The sequence below is a fragment of the Homo sapiens genome, chromosome 11 (assembly GCF_000001405.40).
Source record: "Homo sapiens chromosome 11, GRCh38.p14 Primary Assembly".
Lineage (NCBI taxonomy): Eukaryota > Metazoa > Chordata > Mammalia > Primates > Hominidae > Homo > Homo sapiens.
In genome coordinates this window covers 107,775,753-107,795,422 of record NC_000011.10, presented here as the reverse complement: position 1 = coordinate 107,795,422, position 19,670 = coordinate 107,775,753, and the positions used below count along the sequence as shown (strand labels likewise).

The following is a 19,670-nucleotide window of genomic DNA, read 5'->3' as shown; positions in this document are numbered from 1 at the left end:
CCATAAAATCTTTGTCTAGACCAATGTCCTAAAGTGTTTCCCTGTGTTTTCTTCTAGTAGCTTTATAGTTTTGGGTCTTATATTTAAGTCTTTAATCCCACCTTGAGTTGATTTTTTTATATGGTGAGAGATAGGAGTTCATTTTCATTTTATACTAATACCATGCTGTTTTGGTTGCCCAGCATTGCTTTGGCTATTTGGGCCCTTTTGTGGTTCCATATGAATTTTAGGATTGTGTTTTCTGTTTATGTGAAAAATAACATTGATATTTTGATAGGGATTGCACTGAATTTATAGATTGCTTTGGGCAGTATGCTCATTTTAATGAGATTAATCCTTCCAGTCCATAAGCATGGGTGTTTCCATTTGTGTCATCTTCAATTTCTTTCATCAGGGTTTTGTAGCTTTCCTTATAGAGGTCTTTCACCTCCTTGGTTAAATTTAGTCCTATTTTATTTTGTGTAGCTGTTGTAAATGGGATTGCCTTCTTGGTTTCTATCTCAGCTAGTTCATTATTAGTGTATAGAAAGGCTACTGATTTTTATATGTTGATTTTGTATCCTACAACTTTACCTAATTTATTGATCAGATCTAAGAGCTATTTTGTGGCATCTTTAGGTTTTTCTGGATATAAGATCATGTCATCTACAGAGAGGGATAATTTAACTTCTTCTTTTCTAATTTGGATGCCTCTTATTTCTTTTTCTTGCCTAATTGCTCTGGCTAGGACTTCCAGTACTATGTTGAATAGGAGTGGTGAAAGTGGGCATCCTTGTTTTTTTCCAGTTCTTAAAAGTAAGGCTTTTATATTTTCCCCATTCAGTATGATGTTAGCTACTCCATTCCTAATTTTAAAATCAGGTTAGCAGGATTAATCATAAGTTGAGTTTGCTTTTCCAGTTGAAAGGAAAAATAAGGCCCTGGGTATTTGATTACACATTAGTTACAGTACATAGTTTCTCTAATTTTTAGTACACCATTCTTGGTCAGTCTTTAGCCACTCTCTTTCTGTGCTTTATCATGCTGCTAAACATACATACTGATGGCCAGGCGTGGTAGCTCACGCCTGTAATCCCAGCACTTTGGGAGGCCAAGGCGAGCGGATCACAAGGTCTGGTGTTCGAGACCAGCCTGGCCAACATGGTGAAACCCCGTCTCTACCAAATATACAAAAATTAGCCAGGCATGGTGGTGCATGCTTGTAGTCCCAGCTACTCGGGAGGCTGAGGCAGAAGAATCGCTTGAACCCGGGAGGCAGAGGTTGCAGTGAGCCAAGATTGCGCCATTGCACTCCAGCCTGGGAGACAGAGCAAAACTCTGTCTAAAAAAAAAAAAAAAAGAAAAAATACAGACTGATTTCTTTAATACTTCAACTTTTGTATGGATTTTCAACTCAAGAGGAAATATACAAAATTCTTAATAGAATTTATTTAGACTTTTGGGGTATATCATTTTTCCATATATATACCCAATGAATTAGTGTTCTTTCCTCATTGCATTTTGCTCTGGGTGGTGGTTTTCAGTCTTAGGAAGGGGAAAGTTGGGGAAGGTCACCAAAAACTCCATCCATACTTTTAAAATTTCTGTCAGAATGGGCTCCTGCTCTTTTTGGTCCTTCTGGGAACAGAGAGTGTATGAGATGCCTCTCACAGGGCTCTGTTTCCTATGATTGTCCTCACCGGACCTTACACTCAGTCACCTCTTTGGGCTTTGGACTCTTCTAGTATCTTAGGCTCTTTCTAGCTCTACAATTCTGAATCTGCTCAGTCCACCATAAATTTTACTATGTAATACTTGCCCACAGAGACAAGATAATGTATTAAATTTTAGCAAAATGAATTTCATTGAATAGCACACATTGAGAGGCTGTTGAGCAGATGCCCCTTCTGTACTTCCACATTTCATCATAGTCTTACGTTCCTCTGCTTCATACCAATATTGTAAGCAGTGTCTAGGGTCTGAATGGGGCTCTCTGTGGTATCCATGATGACCTTTTATTTTCTCCACTAAGTGGGACTATATGCAGAGTGGGGTGTAGCTGGATTATGACAGAGAAAAGCAAAGGTCCATTTCTCCTAAAGATCCAAGGATCCAGGTGGCTTATGTGCCGGGTGCTGTTGGCAGAGTCCCATCATTCACCAGCATACATGGGAAGGTTTTGTGCATTAGCATCTCCTTAGGTAACTTTCAGAAAAAAGATCATGAGGCCAGGCATGGCGGCCCACGCCTGTAATCCCCCGCACTTTGGGAGCCTGAGGCGGGCGGATTGCTTGAGCTCAGGTGTTCGAGACCATCCTGGGCAACATGGAAAAACCCCGTCTCTACAGAAAACACAAAAATTGGCCGGGTGTGGTGGTGAGTGCCTGTGGTGTCAGCTACTCTGGAGGTTGAGGCGGGAGGATCACTGGAGCCTGGGAGGTGGAGGTTGCAGTGAGCCGAGATTGTGCCACTGCACTCCAGCCTGGGCCACAGAGCGAGACCCTGTCTTAAAAAGAAAGAAAGAAAGAAAGAAAGAAAATAAAAAGATTATGAGAGGGTAATCCTCGAAGCACAGTTGGCAAAAGCCAGCAGCAAAGATGTGTATGTGAGGGGCACAATTCACTGCCTGTTCTTCCCTTCTAGTTTTCAGGACTCTACATCCTGTCCTTCACTGTCATCATGGTGGGGTTTATCCTGTACTGCTCCACCCCTACTCGCACGGCCGAGCCGGCTGAAAGCAGCGTGCCTCCAGTCACCAGCATTGGGATTGACAACCTGGGGCTGAAGCTGGAGGAGAACCTCCAGGAGACCCACTCTGCTGTCTTGTAGCTGGAGAAGATGGCGCACCCATCCCCCACCAGGATAAAGCAGAGCCTGCTGCCTGCTGAGGGGACACTTGGGGAAATAGCAGACTCAGAATGGACACTCTACAACCCTGGGTTGGATCCAGTGGTTAGGTTTTAGAAAGGAACACTGAACAAAGTTCAAAAGTAGAAATACCAAAATAGAGCAGAAACCAAGCTAAGAGTGTGTTTCTGTGTTTGAGGACCAATATCTGTTCGTGTTGAGGAGATGAGGTGCAGACTCCACACTGGGGTCTTAGAGGCACCAGTGGGAAAGCAGGACTGGGGAGAGATCCAGGACTGAGCCAGCCTCAGGCCAGGGCGGGAAAGCAGGCTGTCCAGGCTGGGCTTGGTGGTCAGGAACAGGGGCAGCTCACGGTGGCTCTGGAGTACGTTTCCTCTGTCAGATGCTTCAAGGTTTTTTTTTTTTTTTTTTTTTGCTGAGGCAGTTATTGTCCACAGGCCTTTGGGTACAGATGAGGCCTTGGGGCTGACTGCATGTGGCAGAAAACGGGTGGGTCAGCCCTTGAAAAGTCTTGAGATATAAGTGTGAGTACTATACAAGCATTAAACTGGAGTGCAGTAAACCTAGGAACCTTCCCACAATTGTTTTTTTGTTTGTTTGAGATGCAGAGTCTAGAGTGCAGTGGTGCAAGCTCAGCTTACTGTAACCTCTGCCTCCTGGATTCAAGTGTTAGTAGCTGGGATTACAAAAGCATGTGGCCCCACGCCCAGCTAAGTTTTGTATTTTTAGTAGACATGGGGTTTCACCATGTTGCCCAGGCTGGTCTTGACCTCCCGACCTCAAGTGATCTGCCTGCCCCGACCTCCCAAAGTGCTGGGATTACAGGCTTGAGCCACCGTGCCAGGCCTGTTTTGTTTGTTTTTGTAGAGAGATGGGGTTTCGCCATGTTGCCCAGGCTAATCTCAAATTCCTGAGCTAAAGCGATCTGCCCACCTCGGCCTCCGAAAGTGCTAGGATTACAGATGTGAACCACTGTGCCTGGCCTGTTTGTTTGTTTGTTTAAAACATTTCTCCATCACTCATTCCAGGTCCCAGAGCAAACTCTCTCTGCTCTCGGAGCCTGTGACACTGGCTATGTGCTCCACAGTTTCAGTCCCAGGTCATACTCTCCAACAGTTTTCAGAGCTCCATATATATGTAGATGCCATCCTTTCTAAAAACTTCTCACGACCTCCTGGAATATTCCTATTGATCTCATTTTATTTAGCATCAGCTCAAGAAACTAAGTCTTAGTGCACAGTATCACAACAAAGAAAAAGCTTTGTTTTTATAACTGGTAAAAACAAGAAAAGATTCTCATCAAAATGAAAATATAAAATTAATCATTTCTCACCAAAGAGTATGCCTGGGAGCCTCCAGCTGTTAAAAGACAATGCTATTACTACTTCTTATCAAAAATCTGTAATGCCCTGTGATTTTTATGATACTTCTTCAATACAAAGTGTTAATATGTGTCATCAGTATAATAACAACCAACAAAATGCCACTTTCAGAAAACTGTATGTAAATTTTTTGTAACAATGTAAAAAAGAAATGGGGAGTAAGTGTTCACATCATTAAAAGGCTTTGAATTCATGGAAATACATCAACTGTGTGGTTTCTTTGATTAACCATTTCCCCTTGTGGATTTTTTTTCCAGTAAAGCCGTCCTTCAAAACCCTTGTGGATTTTTTTTTCTTCTTTTTTTTTTGTTTGAGTCTTGTCCTGTCGCCCAGGCTGGAGTGCAGTGGTGCCATCTCAGCTCACTGCAACCTCTGCCTCCTGGGTTCAGCAATTCTCCTACCTGGACTACAGGTATGCACCACCATGCCCAGCTAATTTTTGTATTTTTAGTAGGGTATCACCATGTTGGCCAGGCTGGTCTCGAACTGACCTCAAGTGATCCACCCACCTCAGCCTCCCAAAGTGCTGGGATTACAGGCATGAGCCACCACGCCTGGCCTCCTTGTGGATTTTGAATGACTTGACATATTCAGTATTTCTTCATATTCAATTTTTCAGAGTCGTATCCTCTGTGGGGTGAGGCAAGCCTGTCTATTTGGGGACTATGCTGGGATTCCAGGGAATTCAGAGCAAGCTTACCGATCATTTGCAGGAATAAACATTTTCCAATTCTGAATTACCACAATGAGTTTTTTTTTACTTTTTTGAGTGAAGTAACCTTTCATTTTCTGCAACCAATTAAAACTGCCTTTTCAATCGATGTTTGGTTTTTGCTCCCTAACATTAACAACTATGAGAGTGGGAAAGGTTATGTTAAAATGTTTGGCTCTTTTAGGAAGACTTTCAGTTTGATTAGCACACTGATGGTTTAGTTTTAAATTTGTGCTATTTTGCTCATTGTTTCATTTTATTTACACCAGCGACAGCCGCAGTCAGAACTGCAGTTGCTGATCCTGCAAGGTTGCTGTTTGGTGAGCAGGGTCATTCACAAAGTCTTTGGTTACATATTTGGGTGTTTAGGATACATATACACCAGGATGGACTTTAGAAAAAGGAAGTAGGCCGGGTGCACTGGCTCAAGCCTGTAATCCCAGCACTGTTACGTGCAGGTCTTTGTTCTTAGAGCTCCCAAGATGGTGGTGGGCCGCTCCCAAGATGGGGCAGGCCACACCCAAGATGGCAGCAAGCCTTTTGTTCTCTGACCTGGGGTTCTTGGCCTCAGTGGATTCCAAGGAATGGAACCTTGGGCCATGTGGTGAGTGTTAAGCTCTATTAGAAGCCGTGGGTCACGGAAGAGAACCGTGGAAACCAGCAACTAGTGTTCAGTTCGATTAGGATGAACCTGGGCACTTAGTCATGCAGAAACAATGGCGAGCCTTTAGCCTGATCAGGAGCAGCAATGGGCGCCTCGCTGGATCAGGAGCACAGTGGACACTCTGCCAGATCCGGAGGGGTGGAAGTCAATGGTGGGTCTGCAACGGCAGCAAACAGCAGTGGTGGACGGCTCGGCTGGAGCCGTAACAAACACGGACAAGAAGTGTAGCTGCAAGATTTAATAGAGTGAAAACAGAGCTCCCATACAATGGGAGGGGACCCAAAGGGGGTTGCCCGATCCGGTTCGAATGCCTGGGTTTATATCCCGATCATTGTCCCCTCCCCATGCTCTCAGGCGATATATGATTTGACTATTTCTTTACTGCCTACTTTTAGCCTAATTTGTATTTTAGTGAGCCCTTTTTACTACCTGATTGGGTGTGAGCTGAGTTACTAGCCCTGTGTTTAAAGGTGGGTGAGGTCACCTTCCCCAGCTAGGCTTAGGAATTCTTAGCCAAGGAAATCCAGCTAGTCCTGTTTCTCAGCACTTTGGGAAACTGAGGCAGGCAGATTACTTGAGGCTACGAGTTGGAGACCAGCTGGGTTAACATGCTGAAACCCTGTCTCTAAAAAACACAAAAATTAGCTGGGTGTGGTGGCATGCACCTGTAGTCCCATCTGCTCTGGAGGCCGAAGCTGGAGGATCACTTGAGCCTGGGAGGTCCAGGCCCCAGTGAGCCGAGATCATGCCACTGCACTCCAGCCTGGGCAACAGACCCTGTCTCAAAAAAAAAAAAAAAAAGAAAAAGAAAAAGGAGATAGCATTTTTTGAACCCTAGGAAACCATCCAAATCTCAACTTATCTGTGTTGACTTTTTTTGTTTTTTGAGAGATGCAGTGTCCTGATCTTGGCTCACTGCAACCTCTGCCTCCCGGGTTCAAACGATTCTCCTGTCTCAGGCTCCCAAGAAGCTGAGACTACAGGGATGCGCCACCACGTCTGGCTAAGTTTTTTATTTTTAGTAGAGACGGGGTTTCGCCATATTGGTCAGGCTGGGCTCAAACTCGTGACCTCGTGATCTGCCCACCTCGGCCTCCCAAAGTGCTGGGATTACAGGTGTGAGTCACCATGCCCGGCCATCTCTGTTAACTTTTAGAGATATGCTTTGTTTATATATTCAAAACATAAAATTAAACATTTTTAGAGAATAATTTTTGATGTATGTATTATACTAGAAAATACACCACAAGTGAAGGTTAATGTTTTAACATAATTGAGTTACTCACTTGAGTCTGAGTGTTCTAAGAGAAACCTGAAGTCACCCCTTACAACTAATATGATTTGTGTCCCTCCTCACTAAACAGATATTGAATGTTTATCGTGTCTAAGTATTTTAAAGGATACAGATGAAGAGATGTGTAGGGCAAAGCATGGGGGAAGGGGCAAGGGGCTTCCATGCTCTCCCTGGGCACACCACTTTCCAGGAACCTTCATGGCTTCAGCTATCCAGAAGCTCCCCAAACTCACTTCTCTTGGATTTGTTTTGTTGAGGGAAGTCTGGCTCTGTCACCCAGGCTGGAGTGCAGTGGCACGATCTCAGCTCACTGCAACCTCTGCCTCCTGGGTTCAAGGAATTCTTGTGCCTCAGCCTCAGGCGTGAACCACCATGCCCAACTTTTTTTTTTTTTTTTTTTTTGGTATTTTTGGTTTTCACCATGTTAGCCAGGCTGGTCTCAAACTCCTGCACTCCAGTGAACTGTCCGCCTTGGCCTCCCAAAGTGCTGGGATTATAGGTGTGAGCCACTGCGCCTGGCCCTCTTGTGTTTTTATGGAAGTTTCCTGATTCAGCATTCCTTCCCCCAGGGTATAGGGCGGGACTCACTCTGGGGAGGGTCTGAAGACCCACAATCAGAAAAGCGGGCAAGTCCTGGCTCGGGGCAGGTGAAAGGAGGGCAGGAGAAAATTCTGTTTCCTGAGGCCTAACCCAACATAACAAAAGACTGTAATGAGGCTATGGGAGTTAGGAACCAGGAACTGTATGCAAACTAATATATATCATGACACCATAGGCCACCTCTGGTTTTCAACCATGGATCCCTTACAGCAAAACAAATATACAGAATCTTTAATAATTACTTTAGTCCATCATATTGTGTGACTGTCTCCCAGGCAGAGGCCACTCAAGTTTGCAAGCTTCCTTTTAATCTTGTCAGACTCCAAAAGCAGGAGTGGTCTCGGCAGGCACACTGCTTCGCCCTTTCAGGCATCTGGGATCATCGAGTTAAGAGACAGTGTCATCTTTTGCTCTGAGTCTCTTTAGAGTCATTAATATGATATTGGATTTTCCTCAATTTATAACGCACTTTTTCATTTATTTATTCTTGGCTATTCCTCCTTTTTTCCATTTGTCATTTAATTTTACCCCAATTTTTCCACTTTTGGAAGGGACATTAGGTTTGGCCACTGTGCTGATTCATGTCGCTGGTAGCAATACCTGTCTAGCGAGTGCCTCCCCCTCAGTCCACGCCCATTCATAGAAGGAAGGGTCACATAGGATCTGAACTAGTGAGCCTTTTTTTTTTTTTTTTTTAGACAGAGTCTTGCTCGCTCTGTCACCCAGGCTGGAGTGCAATGGTGTGATCTCAGCTCACTGCAACCTCTGCCTCCCAGGTTCAAGCGATTCTCCTGCCTCAGCCTCCTGAGTAGCTGGGACTACAGGCACACACCACCGTGCCTGGTTAATTTTTGTATTTTTTTTAGTAGAGACGGGGTTTTATCATGTTGGCCAGGCTGGTCTCGAACTCCTGACCTCAGGTGATCCACCCACCTCAGCCTCCCAAAGTACTGGGATTACAGGCCTGAACCACCGCACCCAGCCTGTATTTATTCTTAATCCCAATTTTTCCAGATGGGGTGAAGGCACAACCAACCCCTCATCGGTCCCTTAGGAATTCTGACAAAGTTTAAAAACATAGTGACAGTTTCCTGCTTAGAAATAATTCCTGCTTGCAGCACTTGTAGTTACAGCCCTGGTCCTAGGACCACTGCATTAGGTAGTGGAGAGAAAAAAAATTTTTTTTGGCCAGGCGTGGTGGCTCACACCTGTAATCCCAGCACTTTGGGAGGCCGAGGCAGGTGGATCACGAGGTCAGGAGATTGAGACCATCCTGGCTAACACAGTGAAACCTTGTCTCTACTAATAATACAAAAAAATTAGCTGGGCGTGGTGGCAGGTGCCTGTAGCCGCAGCTACTTGGGAGGCTGAGGCAGGAGAATGGCGTGAACCTGGGAGGCGGAGTTTGCAGTGAGCTGAGATGGTGCCACTGTACTCCAGCCTGGGCCACAGAGCAAGACTCCATTTCAAAACAAAAAAAAGTTTTTTTTTGAGGTGATTTTGAAACCACCTTTGCAAAATTATAACTGAGACAATGAAAGAACTCTAACCTAACCAACTCTATCTTGCTTCTAACCTCCAAGCTGTCTTTGTTTATTCCTGGGCATAGGCTGAACTAACTTTGGGAGGAACTTAGTTTATAGGCTATAGTTTAAAACAAAGATGAGGCTGGGCATGGTGGCTCACACCTGTAATCCCAGCACTTCAGCAGGCAAAGGCGGGCAGATCAACTGAGGTTGGGATTTCAAGACCAGCCTGGCCAACATGGTGAAATCCTGTCTCTACTAAAATACTAAAATTAGCAGGGCATGGTGGTGGGTGCCTATAATCCCAGCTACTTGGGAGGCTGAGGCAGGAGAATCGCTTGAACCCAAGAGGCGCAGAGGTTGCAGTGAGCCAAGATCTCACCATTGCACTCCAGCCTGGGTGACAGAATGCGACTTTGTCTCAAAAAATAAAAATAAAACAAAATTGCTAACAGCCCTTTCCCCAAAAGAAGCCTCCTTGCCTGGGGACTGGACTACTAACATCGGCCACAAGATAAGAAATTATGGTTTAGGAGTCATGCAGCTGGAGGCTACAAGATTCTGACCCTTTCTAAGCTGCTCCTATGATCAGTGCTTGAGATATTTTGCAGACCCTGCACTTGATGGATCAGCTGGCACCACCCAGAGTGACTAACTGGCTCATCTGATCTGTGGCCCTCACCCCGGAACAGACTCAGTGCAAGAGGACAGCTTCAATTCCCTATGATTTCATCTCTTACCTAATCAACTAGCACTCACGGCTCACTGGCTTCTCCCCACCCACCAAGTTGTCCTCCCGAATGCTTGGGGAGACTGATTTGAGTAATAATAAAACTCTACTCTCCCACACAGCTGGGTCTGCGTGAATTGCTCTTTCTCTATTGCAATTCTCCTGTTTTGATAAATCAGCTCTCTCTAGGCAACAGGCAAGGTGAACCCACTGGGCGGTTACAATCTGGGGAAGAAAGAAAAAATTATAGTCATTATACCAGTGTATCCCTCCCTTGGCAAGAATTGTATAGTCATTACCAACATCCTCGCCAGCCCCCCTTCCCCAGATCAACCAGAAGGAGAAAAAAAAATCTAGTGCGGGAGATTCTAGTTCCACTCATTTTGAGTGTGAGCACACACTCGTGAATGTGTGTAAGCCAGCCGTTCATAATTTTATCTCCCCTGCTTTAGGCAACCAGTGTTTCAATTGTACATTCTACTTCTCTATTACTCTAAGAAGGATATCTCTCCGCCTACTGTTGGACGTTATGAGTTGTGTACAAGTAGTTTCAACTTTCCCAATAATGTAAATAATCAAGGAATTTGAAAACCTTGACCTCTCACTTTAATTATCATCTAGCCCAATTCCCTTTTTAAAGATAAATAAGGGAAGGCACAGGAAAGCGATGTGATTTGTCTGAGTTTTATGCCAAACGAAAATGGATTCTTAGTTCATTACTGGATTCCTAGTTCATTACTAATTCTCACTTAGCAGAATGTCAGAAACACTGGAGATGCTTTTAAAAATAGAGATTATCAAGCCCTATCCCAGAACTACTGAGTCAGTCTCCAGGGGTGGAGGCCAGGGATCTCTGAGCACACATTTCCTAAAATATTTTGCTTAATAATAAACCTGGGCTTGGTGTGGTGGCTCACACCTTTAAACCCAGCCCTTTGGGAGGCCAAGGCGGGAGGATCACTTGAGGCCAGGAGGCCAGAAGTTCAAGGTCAGCCAACACAGTGATACCTTGTCTGTACAAAAAAGAAGAAAAAAAAATTAGTCAGGCATGGTGGCATGCATCTGTAGTCCCAGCTCACTCAGGAGGTTGAGATAGGAGGCTCACTTGAGCCCAGACATTTGAGGTTGCAGTGAGCTATGATTGCCACCACTGCACTCCAGCCTAGGTGACAGCAAGACCCTGTGTCAAAAATAAAATAAAATAAAATTTAAAAATAAAACTCTATCTCTATAGGGATAATGGTGTAATGGTGAAGTAGAGAATCTCAGGTGACAAAAATCTCATCTGTCCATCAAGGTTGATCTCAAATGTAGTCTCTTAGGAACCCTTTCTCAGCCTGGGTCCCACCCGCCTTTAAGCTTCCATAGTCTTTGCTCATATCTTCCTTTTAGCACTTACCACAGTGCTTGTGGTTTATCCACCTGCCCTTCCTCACCCCAGTTGGAGCTCTTGTAGGTCAACAGTGGCCTTTTTTCCTTTTTTTTTTGAGACAGGAGTCTCGCTCTGCACCAGGCTGGAGTGCAGTGGCATGATCTCGGCTCGCTGCAACCTCCGCCTCCCAGGTTCAAGCAATTCTCCTGCCTCAGCCTCCTGGGTAGCTGGGATTACAGGTACCCACCACCACACCTGGCTAATTTTTATATTTTTTAGTAGAGACGGGGTTTCATCATGTTGGCCAGGGTGGTCTTGAACTCCTGACCTCAGTTGATCCGCCCCCCTTGGCCTCCTTAAGTGCTGGGATTATAGGCGTGAGCCACCGTGCCCGGCCCCTTTCTTCATCTTTCTAGCCCATTGGTCAGCTCACCTCTTGGGTTAAATAAACTTTACCTTTTGTCTCAGTAGAGAACACTGAAGGGGACACTGACCTAAAGTAAAGCCTTCTATGCAGACACATGTGGTTAGCAAGTTGTCCTACCCTGCTCTGTTCTCTTTCTTGCTGGGCCTTTTAGTCCTAGTCTTTCCCTTTGCCTGCTCCTCATCTGGAGAGGGGCAGAGGAATTCCAATCAGGGCATCCCAAGTTAAAAAACAATGTCCCAGAGAAGCAATGGTATGAATGACAGCTATTATATCATAATACTGTGCAAGGCTATGCATCCTGGTTTAAAGAAATTTGTGAGAACTGGGAATTTAACCAGCCTGTATAACACTGCTTCCTTGAAAAATTTATTTTCAAACATCTGGCTTACATGAGATCTTAAAAATTTTTTAAAAATAATATATTTTAATCAATATATTTAAAATATTATTTCAGTGTGTCACTAGCCACATTTCATGTATCCAATAGCCGCATGTGGCTGGTGACTACCCTGTTGAACAATGAACTCTTAACTTCTTCAAATTAGACTGTTAGAGTAGGTGGGCAGGCAAACATGAACACCACAGGAGAGGGCTCTCCCTAAGGAACCTTAGGCAACCATCTGGTGATGGTCAGGCGCTTTTTAAACTCTCCGTCTAAAATAATAACTGGTCACAGCTAGCACCAGGGAAAGGCGGTCTCCCAATAGATACAAAACACCTGAAGCTGGTTATCAGCAGCTTCCCAATAAGATCTTAGGAGCTGAGTGAGTGTGCTCACCCATGCACACTAAGATGCAAAATGGCGGAGTTTAACTGGTATATGACATCCCTCCAGGAAGCCTGGACTGGTAAGGGCAAAAATGCCTCAAATGAGCATGTGCACAACTTCAGTAAACACACTGCGCATGCGACCCCTCCCAAGTGCTGGCAGGCACTGCGCACGCGGACAGTCCACCCCAAGGAATAATCAAGGGAGGAGAGACTCAAAACTCCATTTGGATCTCTGAAGTCACCTGCTTGGTCCTCTTCCAAGTGTACTTTACTTTTTTTTACTGCTCTAAAGCTTTTCTTTTTTTTTCAAAAAAAATTTGAGACAGAACCTCACTCTGTCGTCCAGGCTGGAGTGAAATGGCATGATGTTGGCTCATTGCAGCCTCTGCCTTCCGGGTTTAAGCAATTCTCCTGCCTCAGCCTTCGGAGTAGCTGGGATTAAAGACACACACCACAACGCCCAGCTAATTTTTGTGTTTTTTAGTAGTGTTGGGGGGTCTCACCATGTTGGCCAGGCTAGTCTGGCTAGTCTGGCCTCAAATGATCCGCCTGCCTCGGCCTCCCAAAGTGCTGGGATTACAGGTGTGAGCCACCACGCCTGGCCCCTGCTCTAAAGCTTTTTAATAAACTTCCATTCCTGCTCTAAAACGTGCCTTGGTCTCTCACTCTGCCTTGACTCTTAGACTAATTATTTCCTCTGAGGAGGCAAGAATCGAGTTGCTGCAGACCTATACAGAATCACGGCTGCTCACAAGACTCTCCTAGGGATTGTTGATATAAATTGTCTTATTACAGAGATTGAATCTAAGTTATCACAACATTTAAAATCAGAAATACATTTGATAACAACCATTTTCATAAAGAATCTTTAAGTGAGTATTTTACTAGAAAATTCCATTCATGAAGATAAGAAATTATTTATCTAAATGCGTGCTGATCCCTGAGGCTAAAAATCAGGATCAAGCACAAGCTTTTGAAACACACCTTCTTTAGTTGAAAACCTCCTCTAAGGCCGGGCGCGGTGGCTCACAACTGTAATCCCAGCACTTTGGGAGGCAGAGGCAGGTAGATCACAAGGTCAGGAGTTCGTGACCAGCCTGGCTAATACGGTGAAACCCCGTTTCTACTAAAAATACAAAAAAAAAAAAAAAAAAAAAAAAAAATTAGCCGGGTGTGGTGGCGGGCGCCTGTAGTCTCAGCTACTTGGGAGGCTGAGGCAGGAGAATGGCGTGAACCTGGGAGGCGGAGCTTGCAGTGAGCCGTGATCACGCCACTGCACTCCAGCCTGGGCAACAGAATGAGACTCCATCTCAAAAAAAAGAAAGAAAAAAGAAAACCTCCTCTAAATGCTTTTTAAGAGCCTATTGGAACAATATTTATTGATTTTAAAATTTTTTTGTAGACATTAATGCCATTTAAAAAAAAAAAACAAAACCCAGCCGGGCACAGTGCCTCACATCTGTAATCCCAGCACTTTGGGAGGCCGAGGTGGGCGGATCACCTGTGGTCAGGAGTTCGAGACCAGCCTGACCAACATGGAGAAACCCTGCTCTACTAAAAATACAAAATTAGCCGGGCATGGTGGCGCATGCCTGTAATCCCAGCTACCTGGGAGGCTGAGGCAGGAGAATCGCTTGAACCTGGGAGGCGGAGGTTGCAGTGAGCCGAGATTGTACCATTGCACTCCAGCCTGGGCAAGAAGAGCAAAATTCCGTCTCAAAAAAGAAAAAGAAACAACAAGCAAACAAACAAACAAACAGCACTGCTGGTGGCTGGCACCTGTAATCCCAGCACTTTGGGAGGCTGAGATGGGAGGACTGTTTGAGCCCAACAGTTGGAGACCAGCCTGGGCAACATAGTTGCAACATAGCCGTCCCCTACCCCCCATTAAATTAGAAAAAAAAAGTATTTAAAAAAAGCCCAAACTCTACTGATGAATAGTATAACAGAGTTGCTACATTTTCCATAGTGTTGTGTAGATGAAGTATACTGTGCAACTGGACTGGGGCAACACTGTAAGAAGAGAGGATTTTGCTGGTGTCACTTTCACTATTTGTGTTTTGAAACAAAGTTGTCTTCAGCCTCTTAAGGAATTGGTATATATTTATGGGTGGACTTTCCAGCAGGTGGCACTTTAACAATTGTAACAACCTAAAGACCGTTTGCATAAACAATAGTGTTGACATTTTATAGTGCTTCCATAACGTCCTGTAAATCAAAGTGTTTTGTTTTAAAAAGGGTATTATAAAGATTGTCCTCATCAGGGGCTACCTTTGGTTAACAGATGAATAATTGTTGGAAGCTAAACAATGGGTACACGTGGACATACAGAGTGTAATAATAGATACTGGAGACTCCAAAAAGTGGCAGGGTGGGAGGGAGGTGAGGGTTGAAAAATTACCTGTTGTGTACAGTGTTCATTATTTGGGTGATGGGTACACTAAAAGCCCAGATTTCACCACTACCCAATATACACGTGTAAGAAACCTGCACTTATACACACATATATATGTCATAAATATATATAATATATATAAAATATATATTATATATATTATTTTTTCTTGTTTTTTCCCTTTTTTTTTTAAGCCTCTGTGGCACTGGTATGTCAGGCCAGGTTTCCATTATCAACCAGAACAGTCAGGTTCACTAACCCTTTTCTGATGAATGTGTAAGTTAAACATAAAAAAACTGAAGAAATTGGTGCCTGAGGGTGAGCGCTGGAATGCAAAAACAAACCCATTAAGACCTGGCCTGGGTTTTCTCCGGCCCTAAAGTCTGATCAAATAATAAAGGCATTCTTACACATACACCTCGTGCCAGAGCTCATTCAAGATGAAGAAACTTTCCAAGACTCTAGAGAAAGCTTTCCAGACCCTAGACCCTAGATAAAGATTAGATATAGATTGAATGAAACACTGCCACTTTTAGGTGCACTACCACACATGGGCAAATAACTTAGAATATGTATAAGCACTGAAAAAAAAAAACCTTGTAAATTTGAGTTGGTCGGGTGAGTTACTCTGACCTGCCTGAAACCGGTTGCAGAAATAAACTCCCTTCTTTCTCAGTCTGTCTGCATCTCATTATTGAACTATGAGAACAAGCAGCTGGACCCCTCGTTCTGTCTGGGTACACTGGCAGAGGAACAGACACATAGATCAATTGGACCTAGGAAAAAACTCACACAAATATGCTGAAATTAATTTTTGACAAAAGTGCAAAAGCAGTTCAATGGAGGAAAGATAGTCTTTTCAACAAGTGGTTCTGGAGCAACTGGACATCTACTGGGAAAAAAAATAAACATTGACTATGTCGGTTAGAAAAAAACGGTTGAAGAACTGGGGTCCCGGCCAGGCGCGGTGGCTCACACCTGTAATCCCAGCATTTTCGGAGACTGAGGCAGGTGGATCACCTGAAGTCAGGAGTTCGAGACCAGCCTGGCCAACATGGTGAAACCAGGTCTCTACTAAAAATACAAAAATTAGCTGGGCGTGGTGGCTCGTGCCTGTAATCCCAGCTGCTTGGGAGGCTGAGGCAGGAGAATTGCTTGAACCCAGGAGACAGAGGTTGCAGTGAGCCAACACAGTGCCACTGCACTCCAGCCTCGGCGACAGAGTGAGACTCTGTCTCAAAAAAAACCAAAAACCAAAAACAAACAAAGAATTGGGGTCTCAGAAAAGTTGAAATATCTGTCTCAGGTCACACAGAGTTTGGTGGCTAAGGTAAAAACAGAAACCAGGATTTTAACCTTTCAGTTTAGTCAGCAGCCAAAGTCTCCGCTCTGTAAATTCTGAAGGGGTCATGGTTGCTGTGGCACTGCTGAGACAGCAAATACAAATGCATCTCTAATGAGAGCTGTTGGGATGATTTTCTTGGAAAAACTAGCTTGGTAATACAGTTTTATCTGCAACGCTGGGGGCTGCCCTTTTAAGAAGCTGTCTACAGTTTGTCTCTGTGAGGTCTTACGTATGCCTAGTCACGATTCTCTTTTCTGTCATAATTATGGTGATGTGCCATTTCATCTACATTTAATCACTTAGTATCTGGACATATCCTCAGCCTTCAAAATACATCAATAAATCAGGGAAATTTAGCAGATAGCCACTTAGCTGATTAAAAGGCAAGAGATTTATGAGGAAATTAGATAATGCTGACCATGCAGTTCTCTAGTAGTCCTTTAAAGGGTGTTTTGAGAAGTCTGGCAATATATAAATGGTGCATTAGAGGAAGCAAAGCCTCTTCAGAACGACAAAATTTTACCCATCCTTCATGCACAAACCTGTAGGATTTAATGTTCCAAGCTTTCTTCTCCCAATGCTCAAACTTTTACAATGTACCTTAATCCTCGGTTTAAATACTTTCCTCTTCTAGCAATCTTTTCTTTTCTTTTCTTTTCTTTTGAGACGGAGTTTTGCTCTTGTTGCCCAGGCTGGAGTGCAATGGTGCAGTCTCGTCTCATCGCAACCTCCGCCTCCCGGGTTCAAGCAATTCTCCTGCCTCAGCCTCCTGAGTAGCTGGGATTACAGGCATGCATCACCATGCCCAGCTAATTTTGTGTTTTTAGTAGAGATGAGGTTTCTCCATGTTGGTCAGGCTGGATCTCGAACTCCCAACCTCAGGTGATCTGCCTCCTTGACCTCCCAAAGTGCTGGGATTACCGGTGTGAGCCACTGCACCCGGCCTCTTCCAGCAATCTTAATTTAAAATGTGAACACTTTTGGAGAAGGAAATGAAAGAATTCGTACCAATTTTAAGAGGCCATTTGAACAATTATTAGCTCCAACTGACCATAAACAAGCATTCAGATGGTTCCATATATGCCTCACTCAATCAGCTATTACATTCACTGCCTGCCCATTGGGGAGGCCACAGTCTGTACACAATGTGTGATGTAGAGAACTTGTAGTGCTAGTAGCTGGGGTTTCCATGCTGTCTTTTTCCATTTATGCTGCTATAACAGAACACCCAGAAAGTTCATTCCTTCTTACACCATGAGAGGACACAGTGTATCTACAAGCCAGGAAGAGTGACTTCACCAGACATGGATTCTGTTGGCAGCTTGATCTTGGACTTCCCAGCCTCCAGGACTGTGAGAAATAAATTTCTGTTGTTCATGAGCCAGCTAATCTATAGTATTTTTGTTATGGCAGTGTGAATGGACCAAGACATGCCTTATTCTGCTTTGCAGTGTATCAAAATCTCAATGGAATGGGAAAGGTCAGAAACAAACACTTTTTACATATTCAACATAGAACCAAACATAAAGCCTTAAAAATAACAGGAACTCAGTAATATTGCATTTGTATTTGTTGATTAACTATGCTTTTTCCTATGTTCTATCAGATCCTAAACTTGTGAATCACTACTTTTTGTTTGGGTAAGTAGTAATAATCCTACCATGTAACAAAGCAAAAAGTGATTTAATATTCAAGACATTGCCCAAATATGATATCTCTAAATTGCATATTAATCTTTTCCAGGAAGTCTTTCTTGGCATAACGTAAATGGGACAGAACAAAGAATTTTAGAAGATGCTTGATGAGGAAGTGCTACTCCTATTTAGAAAAAGGAAAGCTTAATTCAATAGGTTATATTTTCTATGGTTGGAACACATGCTATTGACAAATGACAAAGTAAATAGAAGGGGAGTGAGAGGAACATATGATTATTCCGGTGTTAACATGAATGTTTGTGAAAATGACTATATTTGGGAGCCAGAATCTGCATATCTGAGTAGATGATTCACACTCTTACAGACTCTGCAGACGACTGCTTAGGATTGAAGAAACAGGTTCTATCATTAAAAAGCTGGATGATCTAGGGTGATGCTTTTTCACTTCCCTTTCATAACTCTCATTGATCTAACAATAGTATGTGCCTGGCAATGGACTGTTTTTTAAAAACATACATTGTCTTATATAAACTTCACATCTTAAGGAGGCATATACTATTTATATCTCCATTTAACCAATGAGGAAATGAAGGCTTGTACCAGGCAGGATAGAATTAGGTTATGCTACTATAACAAACAACACCAAATATCTTATTGGCTTAAAACAAGATTTAATTTTTGGCTGGCTGGGCATGGTGGCTCATACCTGTAATCCCAGCACTTTGGGAGGCCAAGGTGGGAGGACTGCTTGTGCCCAGGAGTACAAGACCAGCCTGGGCAACATAGTGAGATACAAAAAATAAAAAATTAGCTGGGCATGGTGGCACACATCTATAGTTCCAGCTACTTGAGAAGTTTAGGTGGGAGGATTGTTTGAGCCTAGAAGGTTGTGGCTACAGTGGGCCCTAATTACACCACTGCACTCCAGCCTGAGTGACAGACCAAGACCCTGTCAAAAAAAATTATTTTTTGGCCATACTACAGTTCCACTGTGGGCTCCAGATTTTGGTCACTTCCCTGACACAGGCCTGCTACCCAGGGAACTATTAGAAATGCCGGCCAGATAAGTGATCTCTTGAGCCCAGGAGTTTGAGACCAGCCTGGGCAACATGGTGAGACCCTGTCTCTACAAAAAAATACAAAATTAGCTAGGTGTGGTGGTGCTTACCTGTAGTTCCAACTACTCAGGAGGCTGAGGTGGGAAGAATCCCTTAAGCCTGGGAGGCCGAGGCTGCACTGAGCTGTGATCATGCCGCTGCACTCCAGCCTAGTGACAGAGCAAGAACTTGCCTCCCACCCCTGCGCCACACAAAAAGAGAGAATGAATAAAAACCTGCTGAAGCTTAGCTACACATGTTCCAGTACCTAATACTTAGCATTTTTTCTCTGTTGCCCAGGCTGGTGTGTAGTGATGTGATTACAGTTCTCTGCAGCCTTGACCTCCTGGACTCAAGTGATCCTCCCACCTCAGCCTCCTGAGTAGCTAGGGTCACAGATGTGCATCATCACACCTGACTAAATTTTTTTTTTTTTTGAGACGAAGTTTCGCTCCCGTTGCCCAGGCTGGAGTGCAATGGCGTGATCTCAGCCCACCACAACCTCCACCTCCTGGGTTCAAGTGATTCTCCTGCCTCAGCCTCCCAAGTAGCTGGGATTACAGGCATGCACCACTACGCCTGGCTAATTTTATTTTTAGTAGAAATGGGGTTTCTTCATGTTGGCCAGGCTGGTCTTGAACTTCTGACCTCAGGTGATCCACCTGCCTCGGCCTCCCAAAGTGCTGAGATTACAGGTGTGAGCCACCGCACCCGGCCAGATTTTTTTTTTATAGAGATAACAGTATCACTGTGTTGCCCAGGCAGGTCTTGGACTCCTGGGCTCAAGTGATCCTCCTGCCTCAGCCTCCCACATTGCTGGGACAAAAGGCATGAACCATCATGCCTGGTTATA

The 19,670-nt window shown here is 44.1% G+C and overlaps 1 protein-coding gene across 2 annotated transcripts in view, besides 1 other annotated feature; it reads left to right on the top strand.

Moving 5' to 3' along the window:
* Positions 1 to 4,432, top strand: part of SLC35F2 (solute carrier family 35 member F2) — a 67,797-nt gene extending 63,365 nt beyond the window's left edge. For both annotated transcript variants that reach the window (NM_017515.5, XM_047427146.1), the window contains exon 8: positions 2,623 to 4,432. In NM_017515.5, coding sequence (NP_059985.2) covers positions 2,623 to 2,808 — 186 coding nt within the window. In that variant the 3' untranslated portion in view covers positions 2,809 to 4,432. The remainder of the gene's footprint in view (positions 1 to 2,622) is intronic.
* Positions 4,639 to 4,848: a silencer, noted in NCBI's record as "fragment chr11:107661301-107661510 (GRCh37/hg19 assembly coordinates)". NCBI's record gives its function as "represses an EF-1alpha promoter that drives an FKBP-Casp9 reporter gene in an ReSE screen in K562 erythroleukemia cells {active_cell/tissue: K562}" and the evidence as "EXISTENCE:reporter gene assay evidence [ECO:0000049][PMID:32094911]".